Source organism: Homo sapiens, chromosome 6 (assembly GCF_000001405.40).
Source record: "Homo sapiens chromosome 6, GRCh38.p14 Primary Assembly".
NCBI classification, from domain to species: domain Eukaryota; kingdom Metazoa; phylum Chordata; class Mammalia; order Primates; family Hominidae; genus Homo; species Homo sapiens.
Window position 1 is genome coordinate 160,693,404 of NC_000006.12, and position 26,200 is coordinate 160,719,603.

The following is a 26,200-nucleotide window of genomic DNA, read 5'->3' on the forward strand; positions in this document are numbered from 1 at the left end:
TTTAAGCCACTGTGTTTTGGTTTGATTCATCCCATAGCAAAAGACAACTTCAACAGGCCCTTTCTGAGGCTCTGGAGGGGCCCTGGCAATGTATCCATTTGGTCATTTGCTTTTGTCAAAAGCAGACATTTTAGCTGTAATTGGCTAAAATTCTGATCTCTTTCTGCCCTCATGTTGGGTGGTGGTGGAGTGGATGTGGGCATTTTGAGGATCCAGCAAAAGAAGAATTGAGTTGAGTCATTGAGTTTGGGTTCCATGGGATTTATTTATGTGGTATGGAGTCATTTCTGTGTATGTTATTGCTAGCTGTCCCTGTGTAAAACAGATTTCAGAATAGTCTTCACCTCCCTTGTGCTGACTTACCTAGAGGTGTAATGTAAATATGCAAGACCATAGATTACATCACGATTGTGTCACAAGACATGTGCGTTTGCAGGAACATGGATGGAGCTGGAGGCCATTATTCTTAGCAAACTAACACAGGAACAGAAAACCAAATATCGCATGTTCTCACTTATAAGTAGGAGCTAAATGATGAGAACACATGGACACGTCGAGGGGAACAACACACACTGGGGCCTATCAGAGGTTGGAGGATGGGAAGAGAGAGAGCGTCAGGAAAAATAACTAATGAGTACTAGGTTTAATACCTGGGTGATGAAATAATCTGCACAACAAACCCCCATGACACATGTTTACCTATGTAACAACCCTGCACTTTTATCCCTGAACTTAAAATAAAAGTTGAATAAGAAAAATAGAAATGTACAAAGCTAGAAAAGAGTGTAGCTCATCCCATCTGGGAATTAAACCAAATCTTACAGCTCATACATAAAAATAGTTTGATAAAGATTTTCCTAAGTGTGCCAAGAATCCTGAAAACTAATCTTCCATTATCGATCATGAGCTATGAAGCCAGAAGAAAAATTTAAATCTATCAATAATAAAATACTAGAGCCAAAATAGTTTATTATTCTCTTCTCTCATAGAATATGATATTACAACATTATTGAAGAGGCAATCAAAGCATACACAGGCAAAAATGTTGGTAAAGGAGTATTACAGCAATAGGTCAGGAATTTGTTTAATTAAAATTGCTATTTTACTGAGTTTTATATATATTTAGTGGTAGCAGTAGCCAGAGTAGACTTTGCTGGAGTCTGGGCCATTGAGATTGGTATTATTAAGGTTATGTTGGCCTCATTTGCTCTTACCTTCTGGCATACACAGGATACATCTCACTTGATTTCTCACAAGTCTTTGGTACCCATGACCACTCCCACCTTTTTACAATTTTCACTTTTGCTGGCTTCTCTGGACTCACGCTGTCAATTTTCCCCTCTGGCTAACTGTTCTCAGTCATCTCTACAGAATTCTCTCCTTCTGGGTCTTTATGTTGTTGAGGACTTTATCCTAGGGCTTCTTTTTCTCTCTCTGAGCAAGCTTGTCCACCCCCATTGCTTCAATCCCACCTATCTGCTGACAACTGCTGATTCCACATCTCCAGCTCAGACCTCTTTCCTAGGCTCTACACCAGGAATTGGCAAACTTTTTCTGTAAAGCGATGATAACAAATATTTTATCAGCTTGCTGCTCATTGTACTGTCTCTGTCACATCTGCTCAACTCTGCTAAGGTAGTGCAAATATAGCCACAGAAAATGGTAAAAGAATGGGTGTGGCCATGTTCCAATAAACTTGATTTATAAAAATAAGCCTGCTTCATGGGCTATAATTTGCCAACTCCTGTTCTAAACCAGAATATTCAACTCCCTTCTGGAAATTTCCACTTGGGTTTTCTCAAGTTCCTAAACATAACATTGTCCCCAGGCAATTTCATCTTATTCCCTCCTATGTGTTCCTTCTTAATGAATGATCCACTATCCACCAGATGTCCAAGACAGAAATTCAGGCAGCATACTTGATTTCATTCCCCACATTCAGTCAGTCACAAAATCATGTCAATTCTACTTTCTCAACATCCCCCTAATCCATTCTTTTTTCTCTTTCTCCACTGCCTTCTTTCACCCCCTCTCATCTCTCACCTCCTATGACCTCCTCACTACACTGCAATCAGAGAGATCAAGCCACCCTTGGATTTTAAAAGCCTTCAGTAACAGTAGTCCCTGCCTTTCTTTGGCTGAAGTCTAAACTTCTTGAAACAGAGTGAGAAGCCTGCACAATTGGACCATTTCCCCATGTTAGCCAAATTCCTCTCATCTGCCTGCTCCTCCCGCCTCTGGGACCCTGCACATATATTTCTTCTGCTTAAAGAATGTGTAGCAGGTGAAGCAACTATCTGAGGCCAGTATCCCATGGGCAGTAAGAAGAATTTACCAAGACAGTTGTAGATAAAGAAAGGCAGATTTATTAAAGAAAGCATGAAAATATGTTGCAAGGCAGCAAGGGGCAGGCCAGCAAGAGAGGAGCTGAATGCCAAGAGACAAAGGCTTGCTGGGGGTTTTATAGGATGTTGCTTGTGCTGCGTGCTGAAGAGGGCTTAGTGCAGTACTGATAACACCAAGGTTGCAGTGGGATAACCTGCATTTTTCTATCAGCTGAGGGCCTGGTGATAGCTGGGCACAGGAAGATTGTGAGTTATTTGTGCAGGAGGGCTATGGTCCTGGACCATGAAGAAAGGCAAACTTATAGCTTATCTGCTTTCTCTTTCTTTTTTCCTCAGTGTCACCAGCCTGATTCCTTTTGCCTAATTAGGACTTCACAGAATTATTCTCCTTTCTCATCCTTCCAGCTGTCTTCTAAGTCTCAACTTGGATGTCACTTCCTCTGGGAAATGTCTCCTCACCTCTCAAGACTGTCTCTCTGTGCACCACTACAGCAAATGGGACCTGGGCCACTTCACTTTTACAATTCCAGTTTACAGACCTGCATTGCCCCAACCCCGTTAGACCAAAGACTCCCTGAGGGCAAAGATGGCCTCTTATTTACTCTTGATTCCCTAGCACCCAGCACAGCACTAAGCATTGTACCCACTGAAAGAACATCTGAAGGATGAGCGTTTATAGCAAAAGTGGTTTCCACTGACGTTCCCTTCTCTCTTCCCCAACTTTGGATTGAGGAGCCCAGGAGCTGGTCAGGTGGCAAGATAAGATGAGAACGGAGAAGTCATTACTTGGGGCCTCTGTTTTGCTGGTGTTTTGCTGGTGTGTGGAGATGGTGGGTTTCCCTTGAATACCTGGGAGGCAGGAGCAGGCATGAACTACTCCAGCCTCTGGGTTCTGGATCCACATGGGGTGCTGCTGCTCTCTGGCACCCATCAGTCCTTAACCATCTGGTCTCCAGCCAGGGAAGGAGCGTGGTGGTGGAGAAGCCTCTCTGTCCCACCCACTCATCCCAGGAGCTCACGAGAATCAGCCAAAGTCCGAGTTCTGCACCCTGAGTTAGGAACTCTATAACTTTAGACTTTCCCTGAGCTTTGGGAGTTCTCTTAACTAGTGTGAAAGCAGTTACATCATCCTGGGTCCTCCTAAAATAGACACATGTATCCAAATATAGGCACATGTATTGCAAACATAACATGTATGTATATATGTAAATATATACATATAATTTTTGTTTTGAATTAAGTATAAACACAACAAGTTACAAATATAGTACTGAGAGGTCCTTGTATGGCCCCGCCTCCCTCAGGCAGTATCTTACATAACTATAGTTCATGATTACAACTGGAAAGTTGCCATTGGCACCACATCAGAAACTAGTCTGCAGACCTTGCTCAGATTTCACCAGGTTTTTTGTGCACTCATTTGCTTTCCTGAAAATATTTTAATGTTTTTCTACATGACTTATCTCCCCGACATACTGTGAGATAAGGTTTTTTTTTCTCCGAATAAGCTTAGAGAACAATGAATGTGAGAGGTGGGAAGGATGATTTGGTGCATCTCTGTTTTATCCATGGTGAGTCTGGACCTCAGAGCAGAAGGACCCTCGTCTCTCCTCTGGGGAGTCCTGGTGCCAACTCAGTGCAGGCTGCTAAGTTATCCGGGTCTGACTGTCTTCTTCTCTGCTAAAATTTGTCTTAAGCATGTAACACAGCCATGCTTATTAATGATGAGGAGACAGCCAATGAAAATTAATTTTTTCAAAGATGAATAGATATCTAGATTTTTTCAAGCACAACTCATTTAAGAAAATATCACCTCACTGAGCCCCAAATGAGTTAGGTCTCACTTAGAAAGTGTCCCCTAGTGCCAGGTAAAGTGCCTCATATTTGCAATCCCAGCACTTCTGGAGACGGAGATAGGAGGATCTCATGAGCCCAGGAGTTCAAGACCAGCCTGGGTAACATGGCAAAACCCTGTCTCTACAGAAAATACAAAAAAAAAAAAAATAGCTGGGCGTGGTGGCGTGCACCTGTGGTCCCAGCTACTCTGGAGTCTGAGGTGGGAGAATCGCTTGAATCCAGGAGGTTAAGGCTACAGTGAGCTGTGTTTGCACCACCGCACTCCAGCCTGGGTGACAGAGCCAGCCTCTGTTTCCAAAAAAAAAAAAGAAAGAAAGGAAAAGAAAATGCCCCCGAGTTGATTACATTTTAACCACTGTGCTAACTTGAGAGATAGTCTGCTATCTCTTTACAGGACATGAGGGCTGATAATCACCTCATTGCATGGTCCTGGGGACTGATGAACAAAGGCTAACATGTGGAAAAGGGCAACTAAAGAAAGAAGAGCCACCTCCAGGTTAATTAGTACAAGTCTCCTCGCTGGTATGCCCTAATACACTAAAACAGCAGTAAAAACAATCTGCACATTGGCATCGAAGGCACAGATAAACTTGCCGAGGACCCTTACCACGGCAGAGGGATGCTTTATATGAGTCCTTAGTAGATTAATTAAGTTCTTGCTAGTTCCATTTGGAAATGATGCTGTCCTCTTGGGGCTATGCAGAGAAGTTCATGTTGATGAAATGAGCTGTCCTAGAATGGCAGTTCCCGGGCAGCAGAGCCTGGGCTCAAGGAAGGTTGAAAGAAGGGGTGGCGTGGAGCTGCCAGGTGCAAATGTCAGGCCAGCAATGCAGTCCAGCTTGCATGGACGTGCTTCGCCTAGGAAGTTGTGACTTGGCTGCATTTTCCACTTCAGGTGAGATGGAAGGTTGAACTCTACCTCACCTCCTGGTGAGGTTGATGTTTCCTGGTGTTTATAACTTTCTTTGTAAATACTTGAAAGGAATTTACCATTTTAATGCTGGAAGAGACGTCTATTCCTTCTTAAGAGGACCTGAGTGGATCTTGATTGCAGGCCTTATGCTGGGCAGAGCTAAGGAGAATTCAATTTGTCTCCAATCTTATTTGAATGTTCTTTTTTTTTTTTTTTTTTTTTTTTTTTTTGAGACAGAGTCTTGCTCTCTCACCCAGGCTGGAGTGCAATGGCACGATCTCGGCTCACTGCAACCTCTGCCTGCTGGGTTCAAGCAATTCTCCCACCTCAGCCTCCCCAGTATCTGGGACGACAGGAGCATGCCACCATGCCCTGCTAATTTTTGGTATTTTTAGTAGAGATGGGGTTTCACCATGCTGGCCAGGCTGGTCTCAAACTCCTGACCTCGTGATCCACCTGCCTTGGCCTCCCAAAGTACTGGGATTACAGGCATGAGCCACCGCGCCCAGCCTATTTGAACGTTCCTATGCCTGCTACAAGTGCAGCAGCAGAATCTCCACACATCTTGCGTGCGAAAGTTTCCTGTAGTTCCTTTAGCATAGAGAGGCTGGGGAAGGTTAGAGACTGACTTGTACTCTTTAGACATATAGTTGATCATTGAACAACACACGTCTGAACTGTTACACACAGATTTTTTTCAATAAATGTGTTAGAAAATGTTTTGGAGTTTTGCAACAATTTGAAAAAACTCAAAGACAAACCATCCAGCTAGAAATATCAACAAAAATAGAAAAAGTTAAGTATGTCATGAATGCATAAAATATATGTAGATACCTAGTCTATTTTATTCTTTACTACCATAAAATATAACAAAACTATTGCAAAAGTTAAAATTTAGTAAAAATTGTGTACACACTCACAGATCGTATATGGTGCTATTCTCAGTTGAGAGAAGTGTATACAAACATCAAGATGCAGTATTAAATTGTAACTGCATAAATTTAACCGTAGTGCATACCACACTATGGTAATAATTTCATATCCTCCTCCTGTTGCTGTTGCAATGAGCAAAGGTGTTGCGAGTATCCACTTAAAACGTTCTGTGATACTCAACATTCCATCATGAGCAGTTCATCCCCAGTGAATTGCGCATCACAGTAAAAAGTGCTCTCTCCCTGTTCGCATGTATTTTTCGTCCTGTTTCGTGCTGTACTGTAAACCTTGAATAACACCATGGGATCCAATATGAAGTGGCACTAGTGATGCTGGAAGTGCTCCCAAGAAGCAGAGAAAAGTCATGACATTTGACATTACAAGAAAAACTGGATTTGCTTGATATGTAACAGAGACTGAGGTCTGTAGCTGGGGTTGCTTCCATTTCAGACAGATGATTCATCTTGTAAACAGGTGGTGTAAACTTACTGTATGGAAAAATACATAACAGTACCACAGATGTATTTTCTCCTTACGAACATTTCCTTTTCTCTAGCTTACTTTATTGTAAGAATACAGTATATCATACATATAACATACAAAATACATGTTATTAACTGTTGCTGGTCAACAGCAGGCTGTTAGTAGTTAAGTTTTTGAGAGTCAGAGTTATACCTGGATTTTCTACTGTGTATGGTCAGTGTGCCAACCCCTGAAATTGATCAAGGGTCAACTGTAATCCTAAAAGAATCTAATACAATATTGTAAACAGTAAGTGGTCAATAAATAAGGAATTGAACTAATAAGAATACATAAATCCCAGAATATGTGCAACCTGATCATAGTACACAGAGATCTCTCTATATATCTCTTTTCTTAGTTCATGCTGTTCTTTCAGGTAGAAAGCGCCTTATTTTGAATTAGTTGTCTTTAGAGCAAAAATCCCTCCAAGAGTGCTGTGTGGTTTCCTATGCACAACCTGGAATAGTCCATTGCTTCATGCCTACCCTGGACATGAAGGGCCATGCCGCAGCGGAAGTCTCTATGCACCCACCCCCGTCTATACCTGAGCAACACATTCCTCTTTGCTGCTCTCTTACAGGCTACAGAGTGCGGTGGCGCCAGCACAGAGCTCTGCTCAACGTCCCTCTGTGCTTTCACGATGCTGATGGATTATGAAGGTAGGGAAGAATGTACAGCCAGGAGGCCATTAGGAGGGCAACTAATTTATAAAATCACATTTGTAGAATTTAATGCATCCAACAACTACCAGGGGAAAGGTGGGCAAAAGCTATACCAACACCACCCAAGTCAAAACCAAAACAACAGGAAAAGAAAATTATGTGGATGTAGAATTTCTGATAACATCATTCCCAAGGTGCCTTATCCAAGAGGAACTGCTACAATAATATTTTAAGTGGAAATAAATACATGCTGGAAGCATTATATATTAGTAGAGTATTTTTTTTTCCCAGAGTACTTTCTCAAGCACATCAACATGAGCCCCCTAAGAGACATTTCACATTAAAAATAAAATGTCTGCCCACTGCTGGTTTCTCAATCTGCCTCCACCTTCTGTCCCCTTTAATGAACTGGGCCATGAGGTGAGTCAGAGAGGATAAAGGGAGTGGTAAGAATTTGAGGAGAGAAGAGAGTGAGGCTAAAATAGGAAATCAGGAAAAGCGATTCGGTCCCCCTGTCCCTCACATGGGGCCACCCTCTTGTTGCCCAGTGTGGCTTCTTCTTGAGGGTTCTGCATGGTTCCTCAATCCCAGGGAATTCCGCAGGACATTCCACCCAAGACCATTGGGCTCCCACCTCTACTCTTTTGCCAGTTAATGAATAGGCAGGAATTTCACTGCCTGGAAAGAGGAACAATGCTTTCTGGTCCTTATTTCACATCTAAAATAGAGAGGTCAATTGATTTATTCCTAAATATCTTTGAACACTAAAATAGAAGTTTTACAGCATATATACTACCTGGTTGCTCTAGACTTAAGCCAGGGAAAAGTACAGATTCAACATTTAAAATTGAGATAGACGCTTTCCACTTAATGCTACCAGTCTTGCTTTATTTCATGAGAATGAGAATATAATAATATGGCATACGTTCATTTGGGGGAAAGATTGATGTCTTATAACATAATTTATAATTACAGAAAACATGTGAGTTCACTGGGAATAAATAAATTTTGAAGATAATAAGATACTTTCACTTATGTCGTAATTTCTATGTCATTTGGTGTAGGATGTAGAGATATTAACGTTTACACCTAACTTAAGTTTGTCATCTAAGACCTGAAGGGGTTTTGTCTATCAGCTGCACCCCTGGGTAGAGACACAACCTTGGGGAAGGCCTCAGCCCCATCCCTCGTACAGCAGGAATGAGAACAGCCCTGCCTGTTGGGAAGCTTGAGGGAGGCTATGGACGTGCAGCGCTTGGCAGAGGGTCTCGTCATGGAAGGTTCCAGCAAATGTGAGATACTTTTATGATTTCATTTTCTCCAAAAGAAAGGGAATAAGAGAAGAGGGGAGGAAATAAGACTAATTGCGAGAGATAAAGTACAAGGGTGAGGGAAGGAATAAGGAGACATGACGGCAGCGTGGAGCAGCCGAGGGGGGAGATTGCTTTCACCACTTCCCAGCATCTATTGCAGATTCCACCCTCAAACATGTTGTAAGGACTCTTTATTCAAGGTAATGTTTGAACCCTGCTGAGCCAGTGGCATGGGTCTCTGAGAGAATCATTAACTTAATTTGACTATCTGGTTTGTGGATGCGTTTACTCTCATGTAAGTCAACAACATCCTGGGATTGGGACCCACTTTCTGGGCACTGCTGGCCAGTCCCAAAATGGAACATAAGGAAGTGGTTCTTCTACTTCTTTTATTTCTGAAATCAGGTAAGACATAGTTTTTTTAAATTATAAGAATTATTTTTTCTCCCACAATGTAGTAAAAATACATATGCCATGGCTTTATGTGCAATTCATTTAATTTTTGATTCATGAAACTTCCAGTTGAAAATCTTGTATAAGATTGAGGAATTCTTCAAGAAATAAGTTTAAGTTTCCTGTGAAGATTGTCAGGGTGCTGGAATGAATGGGCAGAGAAAATAATGGGTGATTTTTCAAATCTAAATGAGTGCACCCACATAATGGCCAGTCTAATTGAAAAAGAGCCAATGTAGCTAATTATGCAAAGGACGGCTAAGCTCTTTGCCTGGTTCTCAGTTTGACTAATTTATATCATCTCTGTTACGGTGTCATGCTCCCCTCACTTGCAAGTTAAAACAGTGAAATATCTCTTTGAATATATTCCGTTCTCTCACCAGTTCATGGTGGCGGCAGGGTCGGGGACTCAGCATTTCTCCCTTTGTTATGGCCTGAGGAAGGCTTTCCATCAGTATACGTTTGCCTCTTATCCCCGGAAAAATCACACGCATCCATTTGCCAGATGCTGTGTGCAGATAGTGATCAACAAATACTCAGTTGCTTGGGTTAGGTCCCTACATTTTTACACATACATACATACCTGTGTGTGAATGTGAGTGTGAGTGTGTATCCTTTACAAATACTAGCTTATTTAGCTCGTGGTATAGGTAGGGTAGCATATTCATCCTCATTTTATAAACAAAGAAATCAGACTTAGGAATATCATGTTATTTGCTCAGTGACCAAATTCTCAGATCTGGGAAATAAAGAAAACTGGATTTAAGCCAGGTTTCCCAGAAGGAATCTAGGGCTCTTCTCACTTTTCAGCTTTGTTTAAGCCTTTGAAAGAATATTCTAAACATGTCCTAGTACTTCTTTTTCTTTAAAAAAAAAAAAGCTTTATTGAGATATAATTAACATATAGAATTCACCCATTTAGGCATACAATCCAATGGATTTCAAGATATTGAGAGTTGTGCAGCCACCATCAGAATAAATTTTAAAACTATTCATACCCCCAAAAACGCACTCCACTCTCCTTAGCTGTTACCCCCAATCTGCAGCTTCTGGCAACCACTAATCTACTTTCTGTATTTATATCTTTGCCATTTTGAACATTTCATACAAACGGAATCATACGATTTGCTAGTAGTTCTTCATGTAAATAATGTACGCTTGAAATTCAATCTATAAATTACCAGATAAAATTTTACAAGTTGCACTTTAGAGTCAAATACATTTGAATTTAGTGGAAGCCATTCAAGGAGCTATCAAAGAAAATACAGAGCAGGAGAAAATTAAAGAAATTTTTGTAAGAAATTGGTGTATGTTGGGGGGTATGAATATTATATTTCAATGCATGGAAACTAGGACATAGATCACTATGAACTTATTCAGTGGGCTACACCCAAAGGCTAGATCAAACTTCTCTGCCACAGGATTAACATATGTTTTAACCCACCTGGTGGGCACATTCTCTCATAAGCTCTTTTGGAAAGCCAGGTTTTCTGTGGATGTATCATCTTTCCAGTGTGCTGCAATGCCCGGGGAGAGGGAAAAGTTTCTTTTACAGCCATGCTTAGTGGGAAGTGGAGAAACATCTTCCATTTCACAAATTAAGTCTTTTACACATGCAAATATGCATACACATTCACACACCACAGTGAGGAAGAAATTCTCACACCATTAATAAAATACATTTGCATCAGTAGCAATATACATCTGCATTTTGCCTATAATATAAATGTATTTTTCCACTAAAAGATTTGTTTGATGTTTCCTTGCCAGCAAATAAGCCCTATCAAATCCTATTGCCATATGAGTCCTAGAGGTGAATAAGAGAAGAAAAAATGGGGGAAAATTATTTCAAACTGAAAAGAGAAAAGTTTGATTCTGTTTTGGGATATTTCCTAGGGACATGAGCTGGGGAGGGGATCTCAGCAGCGATGCGCTATGAAGCATAGTAACATAACACAGAGAACTTAATTGAAGGGGGAAATAAATGGAAGTTTTCTTTTTTTGAATATCAGTTGTAGCCTGCTCTGCTATACTTCAAAAAAACTCTTCAGAAAGTTTAACTGAACTCACTGTAGGACACACTTTGTGGATTTATTGTGTGTTTTGAAGTCACACTGTGAGCTATATAGAATTAACCAAAACACAACTCTTCTTGAAAATGAGAGTTCAAGTTGGCAGAAAGTGCGGGGTAAAGACATGGATATGGGCCTAAAGCATCTATTTCTTTGTGATCTTTTGATATATCTCTCAAGTGCTTTTTAGTGGATTAGCTTTAGAATGCATCAGCCAACTCCTGCTCAATAATCCATTTTTCCAGCCCGGAATGTCTTAAATTGAGGAAGGACAAAGTCCCAGAGGTGGGGAGCAGGGGGACTTTGGCCGAGGACTTTGCATGAATCGATGAGCATGCATCCACCTCCCTGTCCTGCCCCTTGTGCTCTGTGTACCCTCAGGAGGTCAGGACAGGCCTTTCTGAGAATGAAAATCTGTTCATTTGCTTTCCTACTGGATACTTGTCATCAGCATACAAACCAATGCGCTCTGCAGTGTGTCATCTTTCAGAACCTCCCCTGACCGCATGTTCCCTGGAGGGCTCGCTGTCTTCAGAGCCAGGCTTGTCTCCTGCTGCAGCCTCCACTGCTCTCCTAGTCACTCTGTAACCCACCCCCTCTGCCTGCGGCCCCCACCACGCCCCTCAAAGTGGTCAAGGTTGTCCTGTTGTCTAATTCCATGGAGCTTGCCTGTCTTCATTTTATTAGCCTCTTTTGGCCTCTCACCCTTGTGCAAATCACTAGCATTCTGTGCCAAGGACGGAGCTGGCATCTCCAGGCTTGGAATAGAGCTACCAAAGCTCAGCCAGATGTCTGGAAGAGCCTCAGGACAAGGGGACACCCTGTAGCCTTGTGGTGGGAGCACAGCTGAGGCCCCCTTGGCCACCCTCTGCCACGACCAGGCAGAAAGCAGCTTTCGGACAGATTCGTTGTCTCAGATTTGATCTCAAAGAAAAACCAAGACCAGTATTTGTCCCAGGTCCTGCTTTTTTACAATTTCCTCCGAAATCCAGATACCTGTCAACACCTTGGAAAAACTGACTTCTCCCCAATTAGTAGTGTTGTGTGACTGTCATAAGCCCAGTACAAAAATGGCCTTCTTTGTTGGGGAGCTTCTTACCCTCCAGTGTTTTGCCCAATTTTTGTCCAAGGTGGCAACATAATTTAGTTCAGTTCTTGTTTATTTCCACCATCATCTATGCACCAAAATTTATGTTTCTCAAGGAGGGACCATTCAGAGGATGCTTCCCACCGGTTCAAGTGACAGTGCCAGAACCAAAGCGCATATTGTAGGAAATCAAACAATGGCCTCCAAGTTCCATTTCTACCCAGGGATGAACAAATCAACATCAATCTTGGTAACACAACTGCCACTGATGGTGCCTTACTCTTCTCTCATGACATGGCACAATCAATAGCAAACATAAAATTTGTTCTTGTTTAAGGATTTATATCCACTAATATGGTAACATAGTAGTGGTTCCATAGTTCTAACCTGTTTGTCAATCCAGTTAATCTTTTACTATCTTGCAATCTGCTAATGAAACTGTTTTTCTTTGTTTTATAATTTCAACTTTTAGAGTCAGGGGTACATGTGCAGGTGTGTTACATAACTAAATTGCGTGACACTGAGCTTTGGGGTACAAATGATCCCATCACCCAGGTAGTGAGCTAAATACCTACTAAATAGGTAGTTTTTCAGCCCTTGCCTTGCTCCCTCTCTCCCTTCTCTGGTAGTCCCCAGTGTCTTTAGTTGCCATCTTTATTTATGTCCAAATGCCCGACTGTGTGTTCTTAACTAAACATTTTGATTCATAGCTACCCATTCTACTTCCAGTAAACAGAAAGTTTTATTTGGTTAATGCTAACCAAATAGATTAAAAGGAAGTCATGACAATTAGACATTGACATTGATTTACTGACCATTTATTCCACTTGGATCTCCCACCTCTAGGTCAAGGAGAGCCTCTGGATGACTATGTGAATACCCAGGGGGCTTCACTGTTCAGTGTCACTAAGAAGCAGCTGGGAGCAGGAAGTATAGAAGAATGTGCAGCAAAATGTGAGGAGGACGAAGAATTCACCTGCAGGTATTTCCATTGTCGTTGCACCTACGCAGGAATCTGTAATTCAGATGGCAAGTAATTTACTCACAAATTTATTAATGATTTAAGAGGAAAGAGAAATTTATGGAGCCAGAGTTTGGAACTATATTTGCTCACAGTATGTGAAGCCATACTAACAGCTTCTTGTTAAGGTTTATTGGAGTCTTTGTTAGAAAAATACCCTCAAAGGAAGTTATTTGTTTTTACACCGGACACAAACATTAGCAGTTATTGTTCTGAGCTCCAGTTTTCAACATCATCATCAGTAAATGTTTGTTGAGGATCAGGTGAATGAAAGTGTCCTAGATAGATCTGAGCAATGACTTATAGCTACAAGATCCAGTGCCTGCCCTTTAGTATTTAAGGTGTAGTCAAAGAAACTGGATATAATGTTAAAAAAAAAAAAAAGACAGCCCAAGTGAGGTACAGGCATAATCAATGCATGCTCTACCCAGATCCAGAAGAAAGAACAGTGCCTAAGGTTGAGGCAGCTAGAGAAGGCTCAGGGAGGAGGTGGGAACTGAGCTGGGTTTGGAGTTGAGAGAGCTCTTGACAAGCACCAGGAAGGCAGGGGAAGATGCGGCCCTGCACCTTCTGAGGGGGACCATTAAGAGATGAAGTTGACTAAAGCAGAGACTTTGTGTAGGTGACGGGCTTGGGAAGGTAGCTATGGAATCCAGACTGAGCACCCATAGCAGGACCACGGGATGGAGATGGGAGGGGTCAGGGGCCAGGGTGGGGTGGAATGTGGAGCAGAGGTTCAGGGGAACTGATCAGAGTTGGGAGGTCATGGAGACGGACTATCTTGGCGAATGGGTTCAAAGCAACCAGAGTTGCTTCTTTCCAACCCAAAAACAAAAATTAAGAAGATGAGTGAAGAAGAAGTAAAGCAGTTGAAACAGGAAGAAAGGGAAAATTATGAGGGAGGGAAGGTAAGGGCAGATAAGATTTGCTGCCACGTTGGTGTATTTTGTTCAGTACTTCATCGATGCCATGCCCAAATAACTGAAAGAGGCAGCAATTCTGAGCTCTCTGGTCCCTCAAGATATTCAATGATCTTTAGCATGTCTCACTTATTAATAAACATTTGTTTTCTTTAAATAAAGAAAAATACTTATTGGATTTCCTGCTTCGTTCTGCAGGGCATTCCAATATCACAGTAAAGAGCAACAATGTGTGATAATGGCTGAAAACAGGAAGTCCTCCATAATCATTAGGATGAGAGATGTAGTTTTATTTGAAAAGAAAGGTGAGTACATTTTCTTCCTCCTCCTCCTACTGTCCTCCCCATCCTCCCACTCTTCCTCTTTCTCTATTCTATCTTTAATTTATAAGACCAGAGGAGGAAGGCACTATCGTGTTATAAAACTGAATTCTGAGTTAGGACAGGATTTGATTACTAACTAACCATGTCAGCTTGAGTGTATTACTTCACCTCTTAGATTTAATTTTTTTTGTTCAAAAGATGAAAGGATTAGATTTACAAAATCACTTCTACCTCTATGACCCTGAAAATAAGATTTTTAAAATATTATTTTATATTTAACAAGGAGATGGGAAGTCTAAGCATTCCTTTTGGTCTTGGCTTCTTATTCTGCAGGGTGACCATGGTCCTTGGGCCCTAACATCTGGATGAAGCCTTGTAAAACAGAAATACTGAGGTGTTTTAATCCTCAGAAACATTTAGATTGGGACACAAATCTTATTTTTACTCTTAAATTTTTCACATTTTGGGGGACATGGTCTATATTTTTCTCAGATTTCTGAAATGTTGTCTTTTAAAAATGTGTAAAAGTTACAGTTCCTTTTCTATAGTTTATTTTAAAATGTGGGTCAATAGTCCCACTGCTTAGAATAAGAGGCAGACAGGATTTCAATAGAAATTGCATGCCTTTTTAGATGTGCAAATGTTTCATTAAGCATTTCCCATCAAGTATATCCCATCAAGTATGCTCCCATTAAGCATATCCCATCAAGTATAAATATTTGAAGGGATGCATGACACTTTAAAAACTGTTTCCTCTACTGTGTTGGTAGCCAGGTATTAAGACTGTTAATAGTAACAATTTAGCTCTCCAAACATTCTGCATCCCAGGTGTTAAAGAGGACTGGAAACACCTTAGTTCTTGTATTCTTGAGGATGATTTGCCATATTGTGTCTAGTATTACGGCAAAACTCTAAGTAGCATTTTAAATAGTATTTATTTGGGTTGGAATTATTTCTATGCATTGACTCATCTTCCTGGGTTTCATTAGCTGTACGCATTGTACTTCCTTCCTTACCACTATTTATCTCGAATTCTTGAGATTAAAGTGCAGATTAAATCTAAACTTTATCTGGTGAAGTTATTAGTTCTTACAAGTAGCAAGCAAACGGTAAACTAAATAGGATCACCTAATTGTACCAGATTTTAAAAAAAAAAAACCCTGATTCTCCTGATTCTCTCTACAAAATGCTAACATTTAAATATGTCATTTGTAAATTGTTAACCAGAAGGAACATGGGAATGACTGTAGGTTGAGTTTGAAGTCTGAAGTTTGAAGGCTTAGTTTGCTTGTTTTCAAAGTGACAGAAGGGAGCAAAAGGTTATATAAACTCTGATGGGTACATACAAAAAAAAAAGAAGTGAAAAGTCAAAAGTCAGTCATTTTTTGGTCCTTGTTTCTTTGCTGTGGGATATTGACCTGCTACTAACTTACCTGCCAGGGTTTTGCCAGGAACAGTCAGTGTTAGATCACATTTACTTCTGCCACTTGCCACCAGCCACACTGCCTTCACCAAGTCCAAGACCCTATCACCACTGGTTGGGGCTACTTGTAGCTGTACACATGATCTCTAAGAAATGTAACTTCCCTGTTTAAAGCCCTTCCTAGTGCCCTTAAAATAAGACCCAAAGACTTCCCAAATGTGCTAGGGCCCAGCATTATTTAAGTAACCCCCAGCTGCTGTTTGCTTGGCTTGCTAAACTTTTCTACACTGGCCTTACTTCTGTTCCTTCACCACCCCAAGCACACACCCTCCTGCCTGGGACCCTCTTCACCTTTGTCCTGCTGTGCCAGCTCCTTCTTATCTCCTAGGTGTCAGCTCAATCATCATGTCCTTTGCAAATCTTCCTTGACCCCTAGACCTCCCTTTCACAAAGTACCTTGAGTTTACACTTTTGATGAGTGTCTTATGTCTACTGTAATACTATGTCCCAATGAAGATGTACTTGCAATCATAATACGCAGTATTGGGTTAAAAGCATTAGTTTGCTGTAGGTATGTTAGGAGCACTTTCCCCATGTGATTGATCAATTAATTAAAAAATGGCTAAAGTGGGTAACCTTAAATGATGGTGTAAATATACCTTAAACATTTTATATTTTCATTGAAAACACAAGTGTACTTGACACCTTTTGACGTAGAGCAGAGGCTTTTCTTCTTCGAATATGGGGTCACCAGTAGAAGGTCTCTGGTGTATTTCCTGCATAAACTATGCTCCAGTGCAACATCTACAATAATTACTTTCCTTATTTTTGAAGTGGACCATATCTCGACATTTATTAATCAATCTGAATGTGTAAAACCTTTAGATTTTTATGAATTCCTCCTCAAGCTTTATAGTCAACTATATGAGTGGATTGCCCTCTGTGGATTTGATAGCAATTTTTTAAATGATTCATGTTTCAACTTGTTAAAAACATTTAATTTAGTTAAAAACCAAACAAAAAAGAGCTTTGTTTCTTTTCACATTCATTTCTCAGTTTAGATCATCTTTAATTAAATATAAATGTAAGAAAGTTGGAAAATGCAAAGAAATGACTCGTTGTAAGCACATAACTCACGTGGGGGGAACAGACATGGGTGGGCACACTAGCAAACACCTGCCAGCTGCATGTGGACCCAGGTGGGCACCGGACTGTTTTAAACACAGGAGAGGGCCCGTTGTCTAACTGGTGAGTTGGTTGAGTGGAAGCTGGTTGAGAACTTTTACTGCAAACCATTTACAGTAGACCACAATTTTATAGCCCTGTTTGGCACTTTTTCATATCACTGGGAGCCTGAAGAAATAGAAGTGGGTTGGATCTCTTTCAGCCTCTGAAAAGCCTGCCATTCCCCCATCTAAAAAGCCCTTTCCCCATTCTCTCACTCTGTCTCATCATGTATGTAATATGTATCATCATTAAGTGATCTCATTTTATATTGTTTCCTTGAATATTTCCTGTAACCCCCCTGCCTGATTCCACTAGAATGTAAGCTCCATGACGGCCAAGCCTCTGGCTGCACTGTGCCCCGTGTGTCCCCAGCATCCTGGTGGGGCTCGATACACAGAGAGCTCATAAGTAGCATTTGAATACATGAATCAAAGAATGGCTCAGTTTACTGCAGCCTTTTTGCAGATGCAAAAGATGATCTTTTAGAAAGCAGAAACAGGGGGTCTGGTGCATGAGATCTTTTTCTCAACGTGACTATGCTGTGCAGACCTTCATGTGGTGTCTTGTGAAAGACTTTGACCACTGTGTGGACTTCCCTTCAGTGTATCTCTCAGAGTGCAAGACTGGGAATGGAAAGAACTACAGAGGGACGATGTCCAAAACAAAAAATGGCATCACCTGTCAAAAATGGAGTTCCACTTCTCCCCACAGACCTAGGTAAGACATTCCCTTTCATCTTTGTGTTCATCTACTGTAAAGTTGTCCCTCTGTGTCTGTGAGGGATTGGTTCCAGGACCCCTGTGGCTACCAAAATCCATGCTTCTCAAGTCCCTTATATAAAATGGTGCAGTATTTGCATATAACCTACATACCTTCTCTTGTATAATCCCTAATATAATGTAAATGCTATTTAATCGTTGTTATACTGTATTGTTTTTATTTGTATTATGTTTTATTGTCATATTGTTATTTTCTGTCATCTTTTTCAAGTCTTTTCCATCCACAGTTGGTTGAATTTGTGGATCTGGAACCCATGGATACAGAGGGCCAACTGTATTTAGGATAATTTCATCACTTTTAATTCAAACCACAATATGTGAATAAGCAGATAGAAAGAATCTTTTTGATGTCGATGTTCAACTATTTTTGGCACCATAGTAGAACATGGTTGCTTTCTATTTTTTCTTGGATATGGAGGTTTCTTGAAGACCTAGAACATAGAAGAATGCCTAGTTTAAAAAAAATCAATGAAACTATGAGTTTTAGGCCAAATCTGAGAAAAGATCAAAGATGACTATGTTTGGGACTGAAGTAAGCATATCAGGTTAGAACTCTCATCACATGTTCGACTCAAATTGTGGAGCAAAAGAGTAAATAAGATATAAAAATGAAAATGAAGATACGTGAAATTCAAATGTTGCAACTTGCCTATTATTTATTTTAGTGCATTTTTTTGTACTTTTCCCAGTTTGGTGTTAGGTGGCATTAAGTTCTCAGTAATGACGCTTATCAAATAGGAACTTAGTGCTTGTTACTCACCTTTATCCATTCCCCCAACACTCAACAAATTGCCTTTGCTATATCCCTATGAGATGAGCAGATCAAATATTCCCCGTGAGTTAATGAAAACTGATTCAACCAAATGGCAAAGTCAGAGACTATCGGGGGCCATGGAGACACTCTGGGCCATTTTTATGAGGTAGTCTAGGCTCATCTTTATGAGGGAACTGAGGTCTCGGGGGGTGGGGGTTATCCCAAATAGGTTCACAGAAGAACCAGAAATAAAACCTGCCTTTCTAGACTGTAAGTCTTGTGATTTTCATCTAAATGGTTGTCTCTATACAGCAACTCATCTCTAGAACTGAAAATAAGCTTAAATCCCTCCTCCATCCCCAATAATTCAAGCTGCATTTCAGAGAAAACCAGGACTTTGGAATCAGACAGATCAACTTTGAATTCTTGATCTGCTTCTTCATAGCTATTTACACTTAGGCAAGTTTTGTTTTGTTTTGTTTTACGTTGCCACTCAGTTTTCTCATCTGTAAAATAGGGATAATAACACCTTCCTCAAATGGTTTTATTAGGACTAAAAGAGAGAATGTGTGGAAAGATGTTAGTGGAATTCCTGGCAGATAGTTCACATGGACAAAATGGTATTAACTACAAAAATTTTTACAGAGAAAACGGTAACTGACAAAAGCAGGTGTTTGGAATGAATTAAGACCATGGCAGCCTTTTGAGGCCTTTATATTTCTCCTGACTGTGCAATAAAAATATTTTGGCTCTCTAAGACTTGGCTGTCACAGTAGCAATGGTAATATTAGCTACTGTGCCAGAAGCAGCCTATCAATAGAGAAATTGAAAATCTGACCACACAAATGCTGCAGCACCCAGCTGAAATGCATTTGGATGACAATCTCAGATGGGAATCGAGAGCATCTCCTTCTGCCTTGCTAATAGCAAGCTGATTTTTAGAATATAGTCTAAGTGCTTCTTTTCCATCCTCCCCAGATTCTCACCTGCTACACACCCCTCAGAGGGACTGGAGGAGAACTACTGCAGGAATCCAGACAACGATCCGCAGGGGCCCTGGTGCTATACTACTGATCCAGAAAAGAGATATGACTACTGCGACATTCTTGAGTGTGAAGGTCAGGAGTGGTTCTAGAAAATGTTTTCATTTCTGCCCTTCACCTGTAAAATAATTTGTTGTAAAGCCCCTTCCCACAGGGATGTTATTAATAATTGAGTAACGTATTCACCTCTCGGAAAGAAGCAAAACCCCAGAATTAACCTGAATTTTTTTTTTTTCTGAGACAGAGTTTTGCTCTCGTTGCCCAGGCTAGAGTGCAACCGTGCAATCTCGGCTCACCACAACCTCCGCCTCCGGGTTCAAGAGATTCTGCTACCTCAGCCTCCCAAGTAGCTGGGATTACAGGCATGTGCCACCATGCCTGGCTAATTTTATATTTTTAGTAGAGACAGGGTTTCTCCACGTAGGTCAGGCTGGTCTTGAACTCTCGACCTCAGGTGATCCGCCTGCCTCAGCCTCTCAAAGTGCTGGGATTACAGGCATGAGCCACCATGCCCAGCAGACCTGAATTATTTTTATTAAAATGTTACATCAACATGTACAAATATAAAACTACATCTAAACTCTAAGTACAAACTTCTTATGCTTACAACTCTTACACAGTGTTAACCCCAAGACAGGTTTGCAATTAAATAGTTAAAATAAAACAACAAAATCAATAAAAATCAAATAAACAATATATATTTAATGTGGTAGACTTTGCTGTTTTGCTGAAGCTAAGCAAGGAACCAGTTTTTAAATCAGCAATCCATTATTTGAATGGACTGAGCAATTTAATAGTGCACCTCAAAGGTCAATGCTAAAAAATTTTAAAAAAATCCTACTGAAAAAACTGTCATCGTTTCACATTTCTGGCTACATTAGTGCAAAAGGGAATAAATAAAGGTGAGATTTGTGTGACAGTGTGGATATGGTACTGTGTGACAACTCAGTTCTCCCATCACTTCCACCTGTTCGAATCACGGGGATCCTTTATTTGTACACCATGTTATAGGTATTTGCCCTTAAGCACCACCAATGCATCACTGTTATATTAAGTCTGCCCGTTTTCCTTAGTACTCCATAAAATTTAAGTCACATATTACTCTGCCTCACCATGTTACTTCAATAATTCTGAATCAAAGTTTAAGTTTGTGAATAATTTTGCAAAAAAGAGCCAATCATGCTTCTCAACAACATAAAAAGAGAAGCGCTGTCACTTCAGGTGAATATTGTTCTCCCTGAGGCCATGAGCATAAACAAAAACTCCAGACTAAAACCCTGAGACGGTGCCAGGTCATTCAGCAGTCAGCGGAATGATCAGAATAATTTCATACAAAGTTTTAAAGATCATTATTGAAATGAAGATGCCAAATATTGAAAACTCCTAATGGAGAACGTAGACTCCTGGGAATATATGCACCCTTGGCTCCCCACTGGCCTGTGCATCCCGGTCTAAGGACATGGCATCATGGAAATTCTGAACTTGGTCATGACTACAATAGTTGAGGGAGTATTGACTAAAATATGTGAATGTTACGGTTTAAAAGGAAAATGACATTTGGATTATGCTAGAAAATCCTGAGTCCTTATTGCCAATTTTATTGCCAAGTGCCTGTTGTGAATTACATCGGAATGAGAGGCAAGTCGCACTTAAGTGAGTAGGATTCTGGTTTTTACTCTCTATTTTGCTTCATCCATTTCAGTTTTCTTCTTCCTCTCTGTCCTTCCTTCCCACTCTGTCCAGAGGAATGTATGCATTGCAGTGGAGAAAACTATGACGGCAAAATTTCCAAGACCATGTCTGGACTGGAATGCCAGGCCTGGGACTCTCAGAGCCCACACGCTCATGGATACATTCCTTCCAAGTAAGTCTCACTGGGAAAAACATTCCATGTTTAATTAAGGCTCTGCAGCTCTATCAGACATTTGCTGTCATTTAGATATTTTAGCATTCCTCAAGAAGTGAACGCCTGATGTTTTTAATTTCAAAGCTAACCTCCTCCCACAATATTGCAAGTGAAATACGCATTCTTGCTGCTCAAAATATGGTCCACGGGTCAGCAGCAGGGATGTTTTCTGAGAGTTTGTTAGAAATCCAGAATGTCACACCCTCTGAATCTGATTTGAATAATAACCAGATCCTCAGCTGATGTGCACACACATTCAAACACTAATGTCAGTAATGAATACATTAACATCTGTCTTCAGAAATGCACACACACATGTTGCTGGTGTATTTTCCAAATATTTTCCTTTTCTCTTTACTCCTTGTCTTTCTTTTCCCTTTGTACCAATGAGATTCAAGTCTCCTAACCTTTGACCTATGAGCAGACGTCATGGATTTTTGAATCCCTGATGTTTTATGTATATTTACATCAATGTGTTTTTCTGGAATGAGGATTCGTAACTTCCATCAGATTCTCTAAGGGGACCACGAATTTAAAATAAGAATAAGCTTCTTGCTCTAGAAAGTCATGATGGTTCCTAGAATAAGGTTTCGTGAGTATTCTATTTCACATTAATTGTGCTGGAAAACACCTCCCATTCCACAGTCGCTTCTGGTCTTCCTCTTCATTCTATGATGACTACAGGGCCATACCAGGGCTTTCAAGAATGCAGAAGTGAGGCTGAGCCACAGATTCCACGGTGGAAAGCAGCTCTATTGAATTTGTACACCTCCCATTCCAAATAGCTAGCTTAAAACACAGCAGCTGCCATTTTCCTTCAAAGGAGAAATACAGGAAAGACCTAAGGGTCCAAAACTGGGTAAAGGCACTTCCAGGAAACCAGAAGGAGAAGAGGATTGCTTAAGCCGCTGCTGGCTCCTCTTTCCATCCTGGTAAGCATTTACAATCAGAGAGGGAATGAATAAACGCAGAGGGCCACCAGGCATGGAGTGCATCCAACAGCCCTGGCCACTGGGCCCCACTGAGGAAGGATCCAGCCCCATACTGCATGGTGAGACCCTTGCAAGAGCACAGCTTCTCCTCTTGGTTTTTCTAAGCTTCAAGGCTGGTGGGAGCAGAGCCTGGTAGACCAGAAGGACCATTCCTTTAAGCTATGAAGATGCACATTTCTTGGCTCTGTTAGGTACTAGATGAGTATCTTTAGGCAGGGAGCACTTTACATTTTAAAGACTGCTATCATTTGTGGTTGAATAACTGGAATTTGCTTACATCAATTTTCCAGATGGCCAAAATGATAAGGTCACTGATTCTGTTGAGTGATTTTTACACATGTAAACTGTTAGAAAAACAGTGCTTGGCAGCCGGGCATGGTGGCACATGCCTGTAGTCCTAGTTACCTAAAGGGCTGAAGCGGGAGGATTGCTTGAGTGAGTTCAAGGAGTTCAAGGCAAGCCTGGGCAATAAGTGGGACCCTGTCTCTAAAAACAAACAAAAAAAAGAAAGTCCTTGGAATACAGGGCCAACCTTGTTTCCTTGTTGCCATCTCTGAACACAGCCTTCATCTGATTACCTCCTCCATGCCCGACTGTGCCTAGCACACAGCAGGTGCTCAATGTTTGCTCTTGAAAAAGAGTCTTATCCATGAATGTAAATGTTCAGTGCTACTAAAATCTTTCTTGTCCATTCAGATTTCCAAACAAGAACCTGAAGAAGAATTACTGTCGTAACCCCGATAGGGAGCTGCGGCCTTGGTGTTTCACCACCGACCCCAACAAGCGCTGGGAACTTTGTGACATCCCCCGCTGCAGTGAGTATGATGCACACCCAGATTCCAGGATTTGGACCTGCCCTGTTCTTGAAATCAAAAGAAAACATGTGTCAGTGCCTGAGTGCAGCCTCTGAAAAGTGACCTACAAGTCCTATGGGATGTTATTGGTCTTTATTTTATTGCTGGTTTAAAACAGTTATGGTTATTGGTTACTGTGGGTGATTGATCAGAGCGTCCATTTATCATGTTTTTCTTTCTTTGCAACTGAAACTTCTGCCTCAGGAGTTCACTGAAATGTAGGCTTTAGGTGTTGTTCATCCTATTCTCTCTGTGCTAAAGGGAAATCAGACCCATGCTCTCTGACACATGGATTTCATTTTCAACCAGAGTTCTAATAGTTGTTTTGTAAACAAAGAGTGTCTTTGTTTACAATGTTCAGGTCTGTGGGTGTCCAGTTTTTCCACCTTGGGGAGCAGAGGGTGAGTGGTGGGGGTGGGGAAGAGTTCAAGAGGAGAAGATGAAATGGCAGACCTAGTAGAAATGATGTGGAGTAAACAATTTTATCATATTTTCCTCTCTGAGAATTTGAAGCAAAGGATTACACACTAAGAGAAATACAGGCATGAAAGGTTAAAAAGGATTCAGTGAGGGTTGGCCTCCCCTCCTTTCCTCTGACATGTGTCCTTTGAAAGCGGAAGTTCCTCAGGCATTCTCCCTTTTTATGAATATTAATTTCTCTTTTTTTTTCAGTTTCTCTTTTTGTCATCTTTTTTCCTCAAGAATATCTTGATTTCTGGATGCACACACTTTTCCTTGGAGGTGTTTTTTGCCTTCTTTCCATGGACTCTTTCCCTGTTGTTTGGCTTTTATGGCATGTTGGGTGCCATTCAGTCATGTCTACTCAGTGAATAATTTATTCTTCAGGAAAGAGAGTGGACCTTTGGTGTATGTGAGAATTCGGGGTGTGAGGTGACACGTGTTGATACTTACCAGGTAGGAAGAACTGAGCAAAGAGAACATAGAAAGAAGCACCTACCCAAGGGTCTTTCTCTGAAGGAGTTCCTTGTGAAAGGGTCTCACAGGCATAGATGCTACTAAATTGATTTCATCTGAAAACATGAAACAATTCTCAAGTGCCAAATTCCAAGAGAGGCTGAGCAAAAGCCAAGACAGGCCAGAACACCCTGCAGCCATCCTCCTTAACATCCATCTGTGCATTCTCTATTTTAAAATTATTCATTGTAGGGCTGGGCACGGTGGCTCACGCCTGTAATCCCAGCACTTCCGGAGGCCGAGGTGGGCGGATCACGAGGTCAGGAGTTCAAGACCAACCTGGCCAATATGATGAAACCCCACCTCTACTAAAAATACAAAAAAATTAGCCAGTTGTGGTGACACGCACCTGTAGTCTGAGCTACTCGGGAGGCTGAGGCAGGAGAATGACTTGAACCCAGGAGGCAGAGGTTGCAGTGAGCTGAGATCGTGCCACTGACTCCAGCCTGGGCGACAGAGCGAGACTCCGTCTCAAAAAATATATATATTCATTGTAACTTATTTTGCCCATTCAAGCAACACCTCCACCATCTTCTGGTCCCACCTACCAGTGTCTGAAGGGAACAGGTGAAAACTATCGCGGGAATGTGGCTGTTACCGTGTCCGGGCACACCTGTCAGCACTGGAGTGCACAGACCCCTCACACACATAACAGGACACCAGAAAACTTCCCCTGCAAGTAAGTCCCCTCCGGTCTCATTCTGCTGCTATGGAATGTGAAATCCCATTGACTTTGCCTTAGTTTTAGTTACTGTAGGAACGCAGGATAAAGTATTCTGGAAGAAAAACTGATCTAGTCATAAGTAAAGGAAATGAACTTTAGCACGTTTTTTCCCGTAACGGTTGTTCTCAAAGCGTGGTTCCCTAGACTTTTTTCTTTTTGGAAAGCTAAACTCACAATCACTTCTTTTTCAGAAATTTGGATGAAAACTACTGCCGCAATCCTGACGGAAAAAGGGCCCCATGGTGCCATACAACCAACAGCCAAGTGCGGTGGGAGTACTGTAAGATACCGTCCTGTGACTCCTCCCCAGTATCCACGGAACAATTGGCTCCCACAGGTAAGCAAGGGTATGGGAGCTTACTGAGGGCCCAAGTTTTCTCCTTATTTTTGTATACCAGTGGCATCATCACAATATACAGTAGCTTTGTAAGTTTAATGCTATTGTGGTCAGAAAGCCTGCCCTTATGATTTCAGTTTTTTTAGATTTGTTGAGGTTTGTTTTATGGTTCAGAATATAGCCATCTTGGTGAATGTTTCATGTGCTCTTGAAAAGAATGTGTCTTCTGCGGTTGTTGGGTGGGGTGTTCCCTCAAGGTCATTTAGGTGAAGTTGGTTGCTGGTGTTCTTCTGTATCCTTACTGATTGTCTGTCTCCTCCTTCATTGACTACTGTGGATGAATGGTGATGTGTCCAACTTTAACTGTAAATTAGTCTATTTCTCTTTTAGATCGTAACTCTTTTGTATATTTTGAAGCTCTTTTGTTAGGCACATATGTATTTAGGATGGTTATGTCTTCTAGATGAAAGGACCCCTTTATCTTTATGTAATGTTTCTTCTTATCTCTGGGAATATTTCTTCTTCTGAAGTTCTGAACTCTCTTTATGGTGATATAAATACAGTCTCACAGCTCTATTTTCACTAGTATTTGTGTGATATATCTTTTAAATTTGTATGATATATCTTTTAAATTTATCTGAGCTTTTAAATTGAGATGTTCAAACCATTTGCATTCATGCAATTGTTAATAGAGTTGAATTTACATCTACCATCAAGTTAGTTATTTCTCTTTGTCCCATTTAAACTTTGTTCCTTTTTTCATCT

General features: G+C 41.0%; 1 protein-coding gene across 2 annotated transcripts in view; it reads left to right on the forward strand.

Moving 5' to 3' along the window:
• The window catches only part of PLG (plasminogen), a 51,905-nt gene continuing 34,494 nt past the window's right edge, over positions 8,790-26,200 (forward strand). The window contains exons 1-9 of one of the 2 annotated variants that reach the window (NM_000301.5): positions 8,841-8,950; positions 13,004-13,139; positions 14,297-14,403; positions 17,674-17,788; positions 19,583-19,722; positions 21,391-21,511; positions 23,242-23,360; positions 24,891-25,053; positions 25,290-25,435. In NM_000301.5, the coding sequence (NP_000292.1) occupies positions 8,902-8,950; positions 13,004-13,139; positions 14,297-14,403; positions 17,674-17,788; positions 19,583-19,722; positions 21,391-21,511; positions 23,242-23,360; positions 24,891-25,053; positions 25,290-25,435 (1,096 nt within the window). In that variant the 5' untranslated portion in view covers positions 8,841-8,901. Of the gene's footprint in view, positions 8,951-13,003; positions 13,140-14,296; positions 14,404-17,673; positions 18,470-19,582; positions 19,723-21,390; positions 21,512-23,241; positions 23,361-24,890; positions 25,054-25,289; positions 25,436-26,200 lie in introns of those variants that run through there. The other variant, NM_001168338.1, reaches the window with a different exon arrangement.